General features: G+C 59.5%; 1 protein-coding gene across 1 annotated transcript in view, besides 8 other annotated features; it reads right to left on the reverse strand.

The window, feature by feature from the left end:
* HS6ST1 (heparan sulfate 6-O-sulfotransferase 1) overlaps window positions 1–15,681 on the reverse strand; it is a 53,389-nt gene extending 37,708 nt beyond the window's left edge. Inside the window, exon 1 of the mRNA NM_004807.3 lies at window positions 14,850–15,681. Within this exon, the coding sequence (NP_004798.3) occupies window positions 14,850–15,376 (527 nt within the window). The 5' untranslated portion in view covers window positions 15,377–15,681. The remainder of the gene's footprint in view (window positions 1–14,849) is intronic.
* Window positions 85–164: an enhancer, noted in NCBI's record as "active region_16511". NCBI's record gives its function as "activates an Ori minimal core promoter by ATAC-STARR-seq in GM12878 lymphoblastoid cells {active_cell/tissue: GM12878}" and the evidence as "EXISTENCE:reporter gene assay evidence [ECO:0000049][PMID:35858748]".
* Window positions 6,148–6,442: a silencer, noted in NCBI's record as "tiled region #5144; K562 Repressive DNase matched - State 8:EnhW". NCBI's record gives its function as "represses a minimal TATA promoter and a strong SV40 promoter by Sharpr-MPRA in K562 cells {active_cell/tissue: K562}" and the evidence as "EXISTENCE:reporter gene assay evidence [ECO:0000049][PMID:27701403]".
* Window positions 6,148–6,442: an enhancer, noted in NCBI's record as "tiled region #5144; HepG2 Activating DNase unmatched - State 1:Tss". NCBI's record gives its function as "activates a minimal TATA promoter and a strong SV40 promoter by Sharpr-MPRA in HepG2 cells {active_cell/tissue: HepG2}" and the evidence as "EXISTENCE:reporter gene assay evidence [ECO:0000049][PMID:27701403]".
* Window positions 6,909–7,889: an enhancer, noted in NCBI's record as "H3K27ac-H3K4me1 hESC enhancer chr2:129067670-129068650 (GRCh37/hg19 assembly coordinates)". NCBI's record gives its function as "activates a minimal SCP1, AML or CMV promoter by ChIP-STARR-seq in naive H9 embryonic stem cells {active_cell/tissue: H9 hESC(naive)}" and the evidence as "EXISTENCE:reporter gene assay evidence [ECO:0000049][PMID:30033119]".
* Window positions 7,890–8,871: an enhancer, noted in NCBI's record as "H3K27ac-H3K4me1 hESC enhancer chr2:129068651-129069632 (GRCh37/hg19 assembly coordinates)". NCBI's record gives its function as "activates a minimal SCP1, AML or CMV promoter by ChIP-STARR-seq in naive H9 embryonic stem cells {active_cell/tissue: H9 hESC(naive)}" and the evidence as "EXISTENCE:reporter gene assay evidence [ECO:0000049][PMID:30033119]".
* Window positions 13,539–13,688: an enhancer, noted in NCBI's record as "active region_16512". NCBI's record gives its function as "activates an Ori minimal core promoter by ATAC-STARR-seq in GM12878 lymphoblastoid cells {active_cell/tissue: GM12878}" and the evidence as "EXISTENCE:reporter gene assay evidence [ECO:0000049][PMID:35858748]".
* Window positions 14,690–14,919: a silencer, noted in NCBI's record as "silent region_11948". NCBI's record gives its function as "represses an Ori minimal core promoter by ATAC-STARR-seq in GM12878 lymphoblastoid cells {active_cell/tissue: GM12878}" and the evidence as "EXISTENCE:reporter gene assay evidence [ECO:0000049][PMID:35858748]".
* Window positions 15,614–16,023: a silencer, noted in NCBI's record as "silent region_11949". NCBI's record gives its function as "represses an Ori minimal core promoter by ATAC-STARR-seq in GM12878 lymphoblastoid cells {active_cell/tissue: GM12878}" and the evidence as "EXISTENCE:reporter gene assay evidence [ECO:0000049][PMID:35858748]".

Below are 17,268 nucleotides of genomic sequence, written 5' to 3' on the forward strand. Positions count from 1 at the left end.
GAAAGGATGCCCCAAGATGCAGACCAAACATGCAGCCAAGAGGTGCTTTGCAGCATCACAGAGGACAGTAAAGGCAGGGCCAGGAGGGCATGTGAAGTGCTCAGGGACACGGGGCCATGCAGAGGAGCTGGGAGCAGGCTGACCCTGACCCTAACAGCACAACACCCATGGGGCCACCCTGAGGGCTGAGGACAGCTCTATGTAGTGCCTCTGTGCTTGAGAACAAGTTCTAGAATCAGCATGCATTACTGTTACAGTAAGAACAAAACCGAAGAGAAGTACCTAAAACGTAGTTTCCAGATCTAGCACCCAATCATGCAAAACCCTGAGCTTAAAGTCCCACCTGCACACGCACCTGTCTGGGCCCAGATGCTCCTCCATACATGGTGGGGGGACACTGGCTGGCCAACCCCGTCAAGTGGGCACTTGCCACCTGTTGGCCAACATCCTTCTGCTTCATGACATCCAGGCTGCCTGCTAAAGGGGACATCTGGGAGGTGCCTAGAAATAAATGGCTGAGGCTCCCTTGGGAGAACGCTACTGCAGCCCAGTGTGGGTGCCCAGGTCCTCACCCAAAGGCCACTGTGGTGGCTACTTTTAGGTGTCAACTTCACTGGGTTAAAAGACACCAAGATTGCTGGTAAAGCTTTGTTTCTGGGTATGTCTGTGATTGGCATTTGAATGGGTGGATTGAGAAAAGAAGACTGACTTCTCCAGCGTGAGCAGAGATCTTCCAATCTACCGCACGCCTCAACAGAACAGGAAGGTGGAGGAAGGGTGAATCTCCTCTCTCTTCTGGAGCTGGGACACTCATCTTCTTGCCCTTGGACATCAGAACTCCAGGTTCTCGGGCCTTTGGGCTCTGGGACCTAACACCACAGCCCCCAGGTTCTCAGGCCTTTGGCCTTGGACTAAGCCTGCTCGCTGGCTTCCCTGGTTCTCCAGCTTGCAGATGGCAGATCTCGGGTCATCTTAGTCTCCCTAATTGCATAAGCCTATTCCCCCAATAAATCCTCTTTCACCTGTCTCTATATATCCTATAAGTTCTGTCCCTCTGGAGAACCCTAATATAGCTCCCCCTCCCCGACCCCTACGCTGGGGGATGCTGCCAGCCATGCTCGTCCTCTTGAAGTGTGTCCGAGCCTTTAGAAACTGGGTCTCCCTGTGTGGGTGCTCCCCAGGGACAGAGATGGTGCATGGTACAGGCCTGGTGAGAGGAGGGCCTCTAGCCCCTCAGGACCAGGACCACTGCCTGGGCACTAAGCTGTCTTTGGCTAAGGGGCAGGAGGACGAAACAAGTACCTGTCACAGACTGTAAGGCCCTGGCATCCCTCGGAGGCTGCCTTGCTAATGGACAGCTGCACAGGACTCCAGAAAGGTCCCTGGGTTGGCTGGTGACCTCTGCCCGTGGGTCCCCTCTCGGGAGAGCCCAGCACTGCAGCAATGCACACAGCCGCTGTAGTCAGATGCTGGCCAAAAACCCTCTGCCACTGGGAAGATATGGAGGCACCCATGTACCAGAGAACAGGGACAGTGACACTGTGTCCCATCAGAGTGCTCACAGCAGTGTCGCACAGCAGTGGCAGCCCTCACTGGGTCAGTGAGAGGACCCACCCTGGAGCACTCAGCATCTCATGACACTCAGGAATGGCTACCTTCCTCTCCTGCAGCTGGGCTGGGCTGCACTGGGGAGGGCGGGTGACTGAGCACCCACACACACTTGCAGGCCATCATCCCCTGGCTCTGTGGCAACCCATGGAACATGGTCCCCAGGGCCTTCCTGGTGGCCCAGGGCAGTGCCTGTGATCTGTGTGGAATGCACAGGGTCAGTGTCATGCAGGAGGCAGCTCCCTGCTATGAGGGCCTCCTAAGCTCTCCATTCTGGATTCTCCAGCCTTTGCTGGCCTGACCCATTGCCTGCCTGGGTCCCCATTTGACCCACTTGCTGAAGGATGGGGGTTTGCTCCTGTCCTGGAACAGCCACACCAATCCCAATACCTGCCTTTTACCCACTTGGCTGAAACCTGACACCCCTCTACTTTGTAAGAATGATGTTCTCTGCTGGGAACGTTGCCAGCCCAGCTTCCAGGAAAGCAGAGTAACAAACCCCTCCTTGCTGGGCCTGGCTTCCCGATGGGCCTGCTTGGACAGTTTTAAAGCATGACTTGGGAGGCCTGAACTTTTGCAGGGTTCAGGACGTGTGCCGACAAGCGGCCCTGCCTGGACTTGCGTGAGCTAAACCAACTGCTCAGACCTGCTCACCTTCCTGCCTGCCAGGAGGGAACAGAGGCAGAAGAGGAGGGGCCGAGCCCCTCCAACCGGGAGCCCTGGGGTCTGCAGTGGGCGGGAAGGAAGGAGGCTGTGGCAAGGGTTGGAGCCCGGCTGGCTGAGGCCCTTGTTCTCCAGGCAGAGCTGGAACCCACTCTCACTCTGGGGCCTACCTTCTCCCCGGCTTAGTGCCTGGGCAGAGCCTCTCCTTACGGGTGACATCACAACCCTCTCAACTCCCCCGGGAGACCATCTGCTCTGCCTGCCCTTGATCCTCTCAGGGGAGCTGAAGCATCACACCTGGTGACAGCTGCTTCCAGCAGGCCACTCATTCAGCTGGACCTTGAGGAGGGTGGGCCAGCAGTCCCTCAGGACCTGCCCAGGTTCCCTGCACCATCCTGGACTCCCTGGCGAGCCCACCTGCTCGCAGAGCAGCTGCGTTACCCTCCCAGAGGCAGGCACTGTGGCGGACATGAGCCACACGCCTGGCTCCCCCACTCTGGGGAGTGACCTGCCTGCGACTTGTCACTGGGAGGAGTTTGGGGGAAATCCTGCAGGCACAGGCCTGTGTGTGAATCCCAGCTCTGCCACCGGTGACCTTAGGTGATGAGTTATTTAGGCTCTTTGAGTCTCAGTTTACTCATCTGCAAAACAGCGCCCCTGACAGTGAGGCCTGAATGAGACTGTCACAGCCCCTCCCTGCTCCCAGACTGCACCCTCGGGACAGGAATGCCCTCCTTTGTGCCTCCGCTCCTCAGCAGGGCTAGCACGCTGGTGTCACTCCACAGGACAGTGCCTTCCCTGGCTTTCCCTCCATCAACTGTGGTCGGGCTGGAGGACGTGGCCGCGCCGCTGCGAAGATTTCTCTGCCAGGGAATGTGGACCAGGATTCCAGGGAGAACGCAGCTGCACGCTCCACAGCCTGGCTCCCTGCTCCAGGACGACACCCCCACCCCACCCTGGCCACGATGACGCAAACAGAAAACCTCAGTGCTTACAGATCCCGATCTCCCACGGTCACCAATGCTCTAGAGAGGTAAATATTTACACAGGAGCCTCTAAAGCTCATAACTCAGAGGGGAGATGCTCCCCCTGCCGCCTAGGGGCTGTAAACATTTGTTCCTGCAAGCCCTGCAGCAGAAGGCGCTTTCTAATTCTCAGGTGGATGGTGATGTGTAGGCCCTTCTGTCCCAAGCCAGTGGGGGCATGGCAGCAGGGGTACTGCAAATATGGGGCTGGGGTCACATGGGGTGGGGGCACATTCCAAGGCTGGGATGATGAGGGGGCTACCACCCCCATGCTCCTTTCTGAGGGGGTGCGAAAAGCTTTATCCATACAGCAGTGCCCCACAGGGACAGCCCTGGGTGCGCCCGCAGCAGACGGTGCCCAAGGGGCCTGGGGAGTGAGGGCAGGGCCAGGCACCAGGCTGGAGGCACAGACAGCAGTGTCGTCACTGTCATGGGGGGAGGCTGAGGCACAGGGCGTGGACATTCAGCTCTTTGGCCGGGCTTGGGGGGTGACACAGGCAGGCTTCCCTCTGGGAAACGCCCACCCAGATTTTCACTGGGAGTTGGGGTGGGGGGGTCCCTGTGACTTCAGAGCCGTGGGTTCCAGGCTCTGGTTTTAGGCGGTTTTAGTTGGGTTTCCTTCCAACTCAATCTCAAAGGGACTCCAACACATGCGGCAAAATCGCTGTGAGGGGCCCTGGCACGTGAGGAACTGTCTGCTTGTCTGGCCTTCCTGGGCTCAGGGCTGTGCAGGTGCCACCGTGGGCACTGCTGAGGATCTCCAGGGAAGGCCCTGGGGGGTGCACGCTGCAGGGAGGATGCTGGTCAGCTGCCATCTGTCCACCTGCTCACACTAACAAGCCCCCAGCTGAGCTCTCACCACCAGCAGGGTCCCATGGGGTTCAGAGGTCAGCAGGCATACCTCTTCTTGGCATGTGACTCAGCTGGAAGATGGGATGTACCTGGGCCAGCCTGGCCCTACCTGGTGCAGGCACCGGGATGCCACAGGCCCAAGTCCACACATGGAGAAATGATGAACAGGAGGAGAGAAGCGGGGAGCATGCTACCCATGGAACCTGGCACCAGGACACATAAAGAACGCTTACGAACCAATACGCGAAGCACAAACAACCCTGTAGGGGAAAACAGGCCAAAGACGTGAACAGGTCGGTGGAAGAGACCTCACTGACCGATAAACACATGGTAAGATGCTATCTCTCTGCCATGGGGAAACATGCACTAAGAGCACAGAGGTCCCATTTCCTGGCTCCTGGCCTGGCAGAAATGAGCCAAGAGTGCCCGCCCAAACAATCGGGAACCACGGGCACAGCATGGTGGTGAGGAGAACCTCCCTCTGACACACTCCTAGGGACACATAGGGACCATGAGCGAGCACCGTGGCCGCACCTGGACTGTGATGGCCAAAGTGAATTGCTCCCCGCAGCTGCATTAGAACCAAGCAGAGATCCGTCTGGACTACCTTGATGTTAAGTCCAGCAGTCAATGAATTAAACACGCATGTCAGGGACCAACAGGGATAAATCTCAAAACAAGGCTGAGTGAAGACGGCAAGTTGCAGAAGGTCAAGCAGAGTTTGATAAGGGTTCTGGAAAGTTAGTAACATCAAAACAGCACTGTGTATCATTTAAGGAATACACACATCTACAGCGAAAGCATAAACACAAGGGCAGGAAACATGTGAAACGCAGGACAGTGGTGCTGAGCGAGGCTGCAGGGAGGCAGGGGTGGGGTGGAGCACAGTGCATGGGGTCTTCACCTGCGAGCCGCACCCAGCTAAGCCTGCAGTGGGAACAGAGGTGAAACTCCACAAGGCTCCCCAGTTACACCCCTGGAGATACCATGTAGGGGGTGATAGCAGCTGGTGGGGTCTAGGGAAGGGAGGAACCACTGCATCCGAGGAACAAGGCCTGGGCCCTCAGCCAGGCGAGCCTCTGTGCAGGGCCAGCATCACGTGGCATCCACCCCTTCCTCCTCTTGACCCTGGGTTCCTCTTGGTTGGGTCTCGAGGTTCTCAGATGGCTGGGGGTGGGGTCAGGCTGCCACCCACAGGGTCTCACGACCTGGGCACCAGGACAGATGTGCACAGTCTCTACATCCTGGCTGCTGGCCAGAGAGGGCCAGAGCTTTCTGGAGATCCTGGTAGAGACAGCCTTTTGTCAAATGGGCACAGTCAGGAAGGCACTGGGTGGTCCCAAGGCCATAGCCCAAGGTGAGCAGGAGACCCCCACAGCCAAAACACAGCATGCTCCAGGTCATCACCTTGGAAGGCCAGTGATGACACTTGGTGATGTCCCAGATAACAGGACCCAACCTGCACAGACTTCAGCTGCTTTGAGGGAAGCTCCCTGCAAACCAACTAATTCATGGAGTGAGAACAAGAGCTGACTTCCTAGCTGGCTCTGGAGGTCTCTTCCCTGTCTCCAGGACAGATGGGTCAGATTCTAGCCTCTTATAGTACAGAGGCCACAGTGGAACTGTGGGTATAATTCCAACTGTCTACCTCCTGCACAGGCACTATGAGTATGCCCATTTTACAGATGGGGAACCTGAGCTGCAGAAGCCTGTGAGATGCAAAGCCAGGATTTGGCCCAGCTGGTCTGACTGCAAGCCTGGGGCCTCTCTTTTGCTCTGCTGACACCCCTGGTATGGTCCCGGGGTTTCCCAGCCCCGAGGTGGGTCTTGGCCAGCCTCACCTGCCCTCCTTGTTGCTGGGTTACCCATAGAACCTTCTGTCCTAGTTTGCTGTGGAGGGTGAAGGATAGTGTGGAGCTTACAGAGTGAACTCTCATCTCCTACCACTCCGTGAGGTGGGAAAAGAAAATGAGGTTGAATGTTCCCAACTTCTCCAGGCAGGAATGGGGCCAGAGCTAGAATGCAAACTGGGCTGGCCCCAGAGATGTCCACCTGATACAGCTTCTGAGCAGCGGCCTGGGCTGACCAGTGGAGAGCCCCTCCTAGGGAACAGCTGGGATCCTGGACAAGGACCAGGCCTGCCCCAGCAGGAGGCCCTGTCACAGGGAGATAACAGGCCCCTGCCCCTGCCCATGACCACCGGGGGCGGTCACCCACGGCCACTGACCTCTGTGGCCTTCAAAGCTTCGTAAACAATTAACTCCAGAGTTTCAATCTCTCCAGTTTGTATCTTTCCAGACAATTAGTGATTTGCTCTGATGGCCCTCCTGTTGGGCCTTTTAACGTTCTCTGTGTAAATAATCCTAGGCAGCTGTGCTGGTCACGTGTGGCCTTCAAAGGCAGGCCAGGTGCAGGCTGTCGGGAGCTGCCTCTCACTGAAGCCCTGGCCCCGCGGTCAGTCTCCCCATGGCACGCGGACAGCTGCTGACGGCTCGCTCTCCAGATGAGGAACTGGGCCTGCACTAGGCTGCAGAATGCTAAGGGGTTATGAGTGGCCATGGCTCCCATAAGACATGGACACAGTCCGTGGCTGAGGGATCATGCGGTCACCACGGTCACAGTTAATAAGTCACTGGTTCCTCTACAGAACCAAATGGCAGACTGCCACCCCCCTTTTAGAGATGGGAAGACTGAGGCTCAGACAGGTATCTATCTGGGCCCATGAGACCCACCGGCTCCAGCCACAAGGTAGGAGGGGCTGCCCAGGGCACTCCTCTCTTCCTTGGACTCCCAGCAGAGCTTTCCAGAAGCCCACCCAACACACAGCCCAGGGCCTGAGCAGGCAGCTGAATCCCTATGGATTCCCTGCCCTCCACCGCAGCCTCAGCGCCTGGTCTGCACAGAGAGGACCCAAGACCTCCCGAGGTGGCCCCGTGGAACTTGCGGCGTGTCACCCCCACAGGCATCCCCCCGCAGTGAGCTGGGCCCCAGCCCCAGCCCCAGACCACACGCTGTGTGAGTCAAGGAATCAAGGACCAACAGTGGGGTAGGTGTGAGGCCCCAAAGGTCCTGAGCCCTAGAGGGAGTTCAGGGCAGAGGCACCGCGGCAGCAGAAGGCCACAAGCTGGTGGGGACAGGTGCAAATCCTTAGCGCAGCTCCCAGCACCCACAGAGCTGGCTCAGGAGCAACTGGTGGCATGGAGGGGGAGAGCTGTCCTGGATGGTTTTTGCTCCATGGTCAAGGAAAACAGCCCCATCTTCACCACGGCTGGGGTAGGATGTGTGTGGTCTCTGGTGGCTGGACATCCTCCCTCTGCCCACCTGTGGATCCTAAATGTCCTCTAACAGCCTCCACCCTGGGTTGGGTGGTCTGGGATCAGCACTTGAACACTCCTGTGTGGGCGTGTACCTGCCATGTTTTTCCAAAACAACATCCCTTGCAAGCTGGGGACTTGGGACAATGCCCTATCAGGAAAGGGGCACTTTCAGGAAAGGAACAAAGAGATTAGGCCACAAGTCCCACAGTCAGAAAGCAACTGGCCTGCTTGCAGGGGCCCCTCTCCACTCATGCCGTCCCATCTCCACTGCCCCCCCTTGCTGTGAGTGGCGGGGTCTCGCATGATGTGTCTGAAACCCAACTGTGCTTTCTGAGTGCTGCTTCCACTCCACACCCCGCTCATCCTGCAAAACCCTGTGTGTGGGAGGCTTTTCCACTCCCTCAGGGCACTGCAGCCCACACCTCTGGCTACCACCAGCTCACTGTCATTTGGCTGGAGCAACCTCATCCCCTAGGTCTAGGACTATTTTTTTCAGCATAACATACCCCACCCAAACCCAAAACAGACAGCAAATCTTCACAGAGCCAACTGAGTTTCTGAGAAGGCAAGAACAGTCTTAAGAGATGAAAACCTTCTTGCAAACAAAATGTCACCTCACCTATAAATACTGCTGTGGAGTGGGCCTCAAGGAGAGGAGAGCAGGTGCCAGTGAGTGTCCAGGTGGCTGCAGAGAAGTGCCCGAAAAGTGCTGGCAGGGGATGGCCCGAGTCTGCCTCCCGCCTGAATCATGCAGCCCTTCCAGTGGGGCTCCCATCTGACTGGGCCCCACATGCTACCACTCAGTAACTGCTCCCCAGAGCTCGGCTTCTCATGCTCTTCCCGCCTCAAACCCAAAGACCCACCACACGCTACCACCAAGTGGGGATTGAGCCCAGTCCTGCTGCCTCCGTGATGCTTGAGGTCTGACCTAGAAACACCCCACAGTCTTTCATAGAGGGGGTATGCAGCCCCACAAAATGCCACATGGGATGGTGATGGCACCCAGAGAGGGAAGCTGAGGGGTTGGGGAGACTCCTGGGTTTCCCATCTCCTCACCCTCCAGCATTCACTGGGGCAGAGCAAGGACACTGGAGCAGAGGGATGGCCTAGACCCACCTGCACCCACACAGGCTCACAGCACTGCCTCCTGCAGGGCTGATCCTCCCTGGGCCGGTGGTGGCATCGGTGGTGCAGGACCAGAGGAGTACCTGAAAACAGCCCAATCTTATGGGGGAGGTGGCAGAAGGGGTGGCCACACTGCGCCAGGAGCCAAGCACCGCCATGGGCAGTCTCTGCTGCCAGGGGCCGACTCTCAGGCAGCCTTGCCAGCACTACCTTTGCAGAGCCCAGAGCCCAGGCATGATGCCTGTCCTTCTGCTCTGAGTGAAGGCTGCCAGGTGTCTTCCAGTAAACGCAACGACACAGGCCTACATGTGAAACTGCCCATGTCTGCCCAGGTCTCAGAAGCCCTAGTGTTCTACATCTGGCTGGTCTGGGCCAGCGGCAATCGCCCCCACCTGCAGACAGCCTTCCATGCGCATGCAGGGGTTGCTGGGAGCAGAGGGCTGGGTGCGGCATACAGCCTTCAGGACAGACAGACAGATGTCCACATGCTAGCTCCTGGCCCTCCAGGCTGAGGGACTGACACATTCTCCACCTTCTCTGGGGCCTGACTTCCTTGTGTGGAAAATGGGGCTGCTCTTCATATACTTGTCTTGGGGGAGTGTTGGGTCCAAACAAGATGACCCATTCCAAGTGCCTGCTAAGTGTGCAGGGGACAAGAGTCACCCTGCCAGCCTCTCTACATGCCCCCATGGCTTGTCACGCCTGTTCCTCATAGAGGCGGAATTCAGTCCCGCAAAATGCCACATGGGATGGTGATGGGCACCCAGAGAGGGTGCACCCCAGGCCCCTGGGAGCTGCACCCCTCTCTCAGCAGGGGTGAAACTCAGCCACCTGTGAGCAGGTGGCGACATGTGGGTGACTGGGCATGGCTGCTCCCAAGTGCCCTACATAGATGGGCCACCCCAAGGGTGTACTCATTGGGCAAGGCTTTGCAATAAAAACCATAAGATTAGCACTTTTCGGTGATTTAAGAGAATAAATTTAAAAAAAAATTCACAATAGGCTGGTGCGGTGGCTCACACCTGTCATCCCAGCACTTTGGCAGGCGAAGTCGGGCAGATCACCTGAGGTCCCGAGTTCGAGACTAGCCTGGCCAACATGGTGAAACCCCGTCTTTACTAAAAATATAAAAAAAATTAGCCAAGTGTAGTGACGGGCACCTGTAATCCCAGCTACGTGGGAGGCTGAGGTCGGACAATCGCTTGAAACTGGTAGGCAGAGGTTGCAGTGAGCTGAGATCGTGCCATCATTGTCCAGACTGCACCGGACAGAGTGAGACTCCATCTCAAAAAAAAAATTCACATGCTATTCAGTACCAATGAGTGTGCCACTGACATGGGTGCTCACAGACCACAGGTGGGAGCATACCAGGAGTGGGTGTTCTGAAGAGGAAGGTAACATTTGTACCAAGAGCAGTAAAGACATTCAGACTATTCAACTCAGAAATTCCACTCCTAGGAATCTCCAGAGGAAATCAGAGCTATGCAGAACATTTACACACAAGGAGCAGTCCTGCAGCAGTCCCCACAGAGTACAGAATGAGCAACCTGCGCACTCACCCACTGCCAACCAGCGGTGGCACACTCAGAGCGGAGCAGCTGCAGCCACTCAAATATTAAGTTTTTAATGACAACAGACAACATTTATGGTGAAATTTATATGATGGCTTCAATTACAGTGGAAAAACCATGCATGGGGAATGGATGATTTTCCTTTTCTCCCTCTGCCTCATACTTTCCTCCCACTCATCTACCAAACAATCATTATAACCACAACAAAGCGGGGTGTGAGAGCAAAAGCCTCCAACTCCCCGAAGGACGACAAGACCAGGCCCCTTCTCCTCCTCCCTCCTGGGCCCTGGAGGATGCCAGACCCAAGGTGGCCACTCCCCCGTGTGGCAGCCAGAACTCCTGCTGAGAAAGAAACCTGGATTCCCTGGCCCTAGGGACCAAGGTGGGCACTGCACTCTCTGGGACTGGGCTCTCTGATCCAGGAGCAGGAGTCCCCAGGCCCCAGTTTTATGCGTGAAGTGCCTAGGACAGGAAGCTGTGGCTTGAAGACCACCAGAGCAGCATGGCAGAAATGATCCCCCAAGCTAGAGGACCATCTAAAACGATCCTGTCACCCAACCATTCGTAAGTTTGCCTTATCATGTGTTTGCTTAAAAAAAAAAAAAAAGGATTTTTTATCTATTTTTAGTGAAAATCTAGGAGCATCTTGACCACAGATTCCCTTCTCATCTTAACCAAAGGCCTCTCTAGGCAATGTAGGCACAGTGACACCCCCAGCCTGGTCCCCAGGTCCTGTTCATTGGCCCCAGTCACATGCTCTGGGTAACATCTGTCCCCATCACAGCAGATGAGGGTTTCTCCCTTGATCTCAAAGAAGAAAGCGATTATGAAGGTAAGGTGGAAACTGTCGCATGCCACAGAAACGAAGGCTCTCATCCAAGCCCACCCCTACCTGGTCTGCCCCACCAAGGAGTCCCCAGGTTCTCAGGGAACACCATGACACTCAAGACTGACTCCGTGAACCTGAGTCACAGGGAAAGGGCAGGGACAGAGCCCAGATCCTGCAGAGTCCAGGAAAAAAAAATTCCCATGGTGCCAGCATGAGGGCAGTGCCAAGGTGGCACGGTGTCAGATGGGACAGCAGTCGAGGCGCCTAAGGCAACAGGGGAGCCTAGGAACAGAAAGCCAGGGAAGATTTCCTGGAGGAAGGGGCATCTGAGCAGACTGAAGGGAGGGGAGGAGCAGGCAGAAAAGTGGGAGAGGAGAGCAGGCACACCAGGTGGACGGCACACAGGTCCAGCACCAGGCGGATTTCTGGAGTCTGAGAAGGCTTCAGGATCACGGAGGGCAGGTCAAAGGCGAGGCTGCGGGCTCCTGCGCCATCCCTCCAGCAAGGAAGCACTGGTCTCTGCAGGGCAACGTCACAGAGGCTGCGAGCCCACTAAGGGCTCCAGAGAGGCCCTGGTGCAGAGAGGATGTGAGCTGGTCCCGGGTTCCCGGCCAAGGTGGCCCAGATGCCACACTTGGGCTCCAGATGCCCTCCGTGGCCCCAAATGAAGCCCACATGATTTCAGGGACATTTCCAGGGTGGCCCGGGCAAGACCTTGACCATGCCTGTTCTTGCGTTGCCTTCAGGCAGACGGGAAGAGGAAGGAGGGAGGTTCTGGCTCTGGAGCACCATCTGGACCCTCTGAGTGACAGCGGAGTGTGGGGTGCTGAGACATTCTAACCGAGTGGTCCCTGGAATGGCTGGCCATTTGGCTGCTGCCTGGGGATGGCCACACCTCTTTAAGGCCAGCCAGCAAACGTCCTTCCAGTGGAGTCTTACAAGCACCCTGGCTGATGTCGGCAGATGAGGCAGCCCCCATGGTGAACACAGGACTAAACAGGGACCCGCCAATGCTCTGCTCACTCTTGTTCCTTTCTACCAAGGCAGCCAAGCACTAACAGCCACTAGAAGTTCCAAACCATATTCCAGGAAGACATCAAAAACCTGTCCATCTCCATGGATGCCCAGCTCAGAGCAGCCCAGGCTGATACTGTGCAATGGGGAGGCTGGCAGCCGGGAAGAGCCCCACCTCTCTTACGCGCACCACAGGCCCACTGAGACCCTCCCAAACCGCAGCAGGGAATGGGAGGGGCTTGGTGGAGAGGTTCCAGGAGCCAGCCTTGGGCAGGGAGGCAGGCAGAGATAGAAGGAAAAGAGGGTCTCAGTCCCCAGAGAACACGGAGATGGCAGTGCAGAGCCAGAGTGAAGACATCGCAGGAGGGCCAGGGTGACACCTGAGTCTCCTGACACCAAGCCCACTTAACATGAGGCACCCCAGCAGGGATGGGCACTGCCCCTGATAGAGAGTTGCTGGGTCCCTGGGCAGATGGGGGAAGTGCATCCCAACCGCCACAGCAGAGCAGCTTAGCCCAGCTCCAGCCTGGGCCAGAAGACTCAGGTGGCGGGGCAGCGCTCAGCAGGTGGACCTCAGTGCAGCTTGGCCCTGCGAGCACAAAGGCAAGATTACCTTGGCCTCCTGATGAAGCTCATTAAAAAAGCAATCTACCTAGTGCCTGCAACAGAACTGAAGGGAGTGGAGGCGGAGAAGAGGGACTCGGAGGGTGGGGTGCTGTCACCTGCCCGGTAGCACAACCCACTTCCAGAGTGGGTGGCAGAGGGGGCCTCCTGACGGCCCTGGAAGCCCCTCCCAACCCTGGCGCATGCTGCTGAGCTAGCAATTTCCAGGCTGGCAGCCCACCTCCGCCAGAGGCATCTGCGTTTTCCATTCTTGCTCCACACATGCTCCCTGGGCAGGGGGAGCCGGGCCTTCCTGGTGTAGCACCTGGGGCCCCATCGGCCCCACCTGGTCCTCCCACTCTCATGGACAAACTCCAGAGAAAGGAGGCCAAGGCTCTTCACCCTGGGGACCCACAGGCGTGCGGGGCTGCAGGAAGAGCATCCTGGTTGCAATCTAGGGCTGAGGTGGCCTCTGCTGAGCAGGCTTGTTTCAAAAGCTCCGGCTTCTTGGCGGCCCGAAGCTTCCACGCAATCCTCTTAGGCTGCCGAGCTAAGTCCCTCTGGCAAAGGGGGTGACCCCCATCCTTGCACCCCCCACAGGTAGGGAGGCGTCTGTTGGTATTGGTCAGTGACCAACTCTGGGAGCCTACTGCTCTGACTGGTGGAAGGGTGGGTGGGGGCATGGCTGTGGTCCCAGGCACAGCTGAGCCTAGCACAGAGAAGCTGGACCAGGGTTAGGGGGGCCCTGCAGCAGGAACGTGCATCTGTGCAGAGCAGACTAAGTGCTGGGCCGGAAGCAATCCTTCAGGGGCCCTAGACAGGCAGCTCTGTGACCGCCAAGTGTAGAATGTGGCTGTAAGAGGCTCAGAACATCACCTCCCAGGCTGGGAGCTGCAGTGTGTGTGTGTGTGTGGGTGTGTGTGTGTACAGTTGGGGGAGGGGGGAGAAAGAAAAGTGGGAAGATGCCCCTCCAACTCTAGGACCCCAATTTCCTGACAGCCTGAGAAAGACCACAGAGCAAGGATTGAGGTCTGTGCAGGGGAGCAGTGTCTCGGACTCTGCTCAGCTCCAGGCTGGCTGGACCTTCCAGGCTCCCCAGGCACACCTGAGAGCCTACAGCCTCTGGACCCAAGAGTGCCAGCCAACACGCCTACAACCGCCCAGCCTCCTACCACCAGCCTGTCTGCAAATTCAGTCCTAAGGCAAATTTGGAAGAGAAACAAAAGGCAGACAAGAAGCCCTGCTCCTGGCCCTTCCCAGCCCAGACTTTGGGGAGAAAGGCCCCGCAGGGCATCCCTGCAGGACGAATGGGCACCAACAGGAACAGGAGGAAAATAACCCCAACTTTAACTGCTGGAAACCCAGCAGCACCCCAGGTTCCCCTACAAACGGCTTCCCAGAAGAGCTGCCCCGGCACCCCTCCCATGCTCTGTGTCCTCACGCAGCTCAGCTCTGACATGGGGCTGGGGGACCCCAGAGAAGGGGTGTGGCAGCACAGGTTCCCTGGACCAGCTCAACTACCCCCAACCTGGCTGGTAGCTTCCTGGGGAAGGTGGTCCCCCATCGGGTGGCTTTTGTTCCTCTCTCCAGGCAAGCCTGTGCCTGGAAGAATTCGGCTGGCAGGCCCCACTGGGAGGACAGGCGGTACTGCCTCCTCCCCGCCCCCAGCCCCAGGTCAACAGGGCCTTTGTTCTACCTGCACACACCGGCAGGCAGGCGGGCAGAGCCAGCCCCCTTCCCTGGCAGCTCCCCCACCCTCTGAAGGCAGGCACTCCAGGCACAGGGGCGGCACCTCACTACTCTCACTTCCACTTTTGGGACCACAGCACCGAAGCGGCACGGGGAAGCCAACACTCCAGGTAGGCCACGCACACACCCAGAAGCCCGCGTCCCCAAGTCCGGCGGGCCAGACCTCACGGCGCACAGCAGGTAAGGTGGCCCGAGGGCAGCGGGCGGGGACCCTGGAGAAAACCCGGGCGCTGCGCAGTCAAGCCGGCAGTAGGGCAGCACAAGGCAAGGAAGAGAGTGAGAGCGAGGTCAGAAAGCGCGGTGACAGCCGGCTCACCCAGAGGAGCTGGGAGCCTCGGGCGCTCGGCAGGTCGGGAGGGGTGCCGGCGAGTGGGGGCCCCCAAGAGGGCAGAAGGGGGTAGGGAAGGCAGGGCCGACCCAGTACAGCACGGCGGGCATACGGCCCGGCCTCGGGGGCGCAGCTGCGCGAGGATCCCGCCGCCCGGGCGCTCACCTGGGCGTGCGCAGCGCGGCGGAGTCGCGGCGGTCCAGCACGCCGGGCACGCAGTTGGTGAGCTCGGTCCAGTCGGCGTGCAGCCCGCAGCTCCAGCCGGTGGAGAAGCGGGAGAAGAGCCAAGTCTCGCGGCGGTTGGGCCGGTAGCAGGTGCACTTCTTCTGGCCGGGCCGGCAGTCGCACGGCACCTCGAGGCGTACGTTCTGCACGAGGTGGCGGCCGAAGGTGGTGCCGCCCGTCTTCTGGATGTGCAGGAAGACGATCACGTCGTCGCCCTTCATGTCGAAGCGCAGCGAGCGCTCCAGCTCGCGGACCGGGAAGTAGTACTTCTTCTCGTAGTGGGGGTCGGGTGTGGGGAACAGGTCCAGGTCGTCGGGCGGCGCGCGGCCGCCGGGCGCGCCCAGGCTCAGTCCTGGGCCCGCGTACTGGTACAAGATGAGCATGAAGCACACCGAGCCCGCCACCACCAGCACGAACTTGCTGGCGCGCTCAACCATGGTCCTGCCGCCGGCGCGCCGCCGCCGCATGTGTCACCATCGCCGGGGCCCGGGCGCGGGGCGCGGGGCCTGGGAGGGCAGGAGGCGCGGGCGCAGCTGCCTCCGCCGCCGCCCGCGCTCCGGCCCGGCCCGGCTACTCGGCGCCCAGGCCGCCCGCAGCGGCGCGGGCCCCGACCCTCCGCGGTGCCATGGCTGCTCCCCGCCCGGCCCCGGCTCCCCGGGCCCGACGCCCGACTCCGCTCCCGCTCGGCCCCGCTCCCGGCCCCGGCCAGCACAGCGCTCTCCGCGCCCCCAGCACCAGCCCGCTCCGCTCCACTCCGCGCCGAGAACGCTCTGCGCCGCCCCGCGCGCCGCCGCGTCTCCGCAGTCCGCCGCCGCCGCCCCGCCCCGGTCCGCCCCTGGCCCGCCCCCGTGGCGTCTCTTGCCGTCGCCGCCCGCGCCGATCCTCGGCCCCGCCTCCGGAGTGCCGGGGTTCGCCGCGGGTGCTGGGCGCGGGACCTGGGTCTGCTGCGGTGGCGAGGCCGCTAGCAGGCGGGCAGCCAGCGACTGGGAAGTGATTCCGCCCTCAGGGGAGTGGGGGACCAACCGGCAGTGCGGAGCCGAGGCGTGGGAGGCTCTCCTGGCGGGGGCCGCGGTGAGGGGGCGCGGCGGCTGGCGCTTCTGGAGCCTGGGTCCGTACCCCCTCCTCCCCAAGTCCCAGCCGCCCACGTCCCCGCAGCCCGCGCGGGAGGAAAGGCCTTGACCTTGCACGCTGGGGCGCTGAAGTTAGACGCTAGCCTACTGGGCTGCACTTCCAGGGACCAGGGCGGCGGGGGCCGCCCACCACCAGGACCGAGAGGGAAAGCGAGGCTTTCCTTTCCTGCTCGACCCCCTCACCCCTGCGGCTGGCTTTGGGACAGTGCCCCGCAGCCCCGCATTGAAGAGATGTTGGGCTGTCTGCAGAGGCCTGCGGAGCGGCTTTATGGCTTCCTCCTTGTTTGAAAAGAATATCAGACGAGGTGCATTTTCCCCCATCCATGTTTATTATACTCCAATGAAAGAGTTATAAAACATTGAGCCAATTCTTAAGAATCGTGAGTGCCCACCAAATATTCTGTCTTTCGTGGGTTGGTTGGAGAGTCCAGCGGCCCGGGCCCAACCTGGCTGCGGAGGGCTCGCTCCACGTTGGCTCGTGTGTGGGCCGGGTGGTGCGGGCTCCTCACTCGCCGCCGCCCAGCCTGGCAAGCACGCGCGGCATTCGTGGGGCGGGGGGTCCCGCCAGGTGCCCACTCACACTGCTTGGGCTCTGGCAGTACTCGGAGGCTGCAGCCCGTCGGAAGCGCAGGAGTGGGGCTGGGACCTGCCAGGATCTCACAGCTGCAGGGCCGGCCGCGGTGGGCCCTAGTGTGTTGGTTCAGGCCAGCGAGGGCTCTGGGAGCGAGTCTGGCTGCCAGGCGTGGGCTCCCAGTGTCCACGTCAAGCCCTGCCGGGGACGGGGTGGGGGGGGAGGCGGGGTGGTGCCCTGCCTTCCGTTCTGTTAGGGACCGGAAGCGATCATGGGGTGTCAATTATGCCTCAGTAAAGCTGTTAAACGTAGACAACATCACACCAGAAAGCCCTCCTGGAAGCAAACCCAGAGAGCTGGAAAAACCAACACCCCAAACCCAGCTGAGCGGGCGGCATGCATTTTCCAAAGGGACCGCAAGAATATCCGCTGTGGACAGGCGGGTGCAGAACCCTCAACACAGCCCAGCGCACCCTGGAGTCCATGGTGTGGGGTCCTCAGTGGGACCTAGGGCCCCAAAGCCCCTGCTCATCTTGTAGGCTGCTTTAAAACTGTCCCTGGCCCGAGGGTCCTGGGGGCAGCTTGGACAAGCTTCTCCAGAAGTGACTCATTCCTATAGGAGTGGGGGTGCAGTCCCCATGGGACACAGGTGGGGCCG

This window comes from Homo sapiens, chromosome 2 (assembly GCF_000001405.40).
Source record: "Homo sapiens chromosome 2, GRCh38.p14 Primary Assembly".
Lineage (NCBI taxonomy): Eukaryota > Metazoa > Chordata > Mammalia > Primates > Hominidae > Homo > Homo sapiens.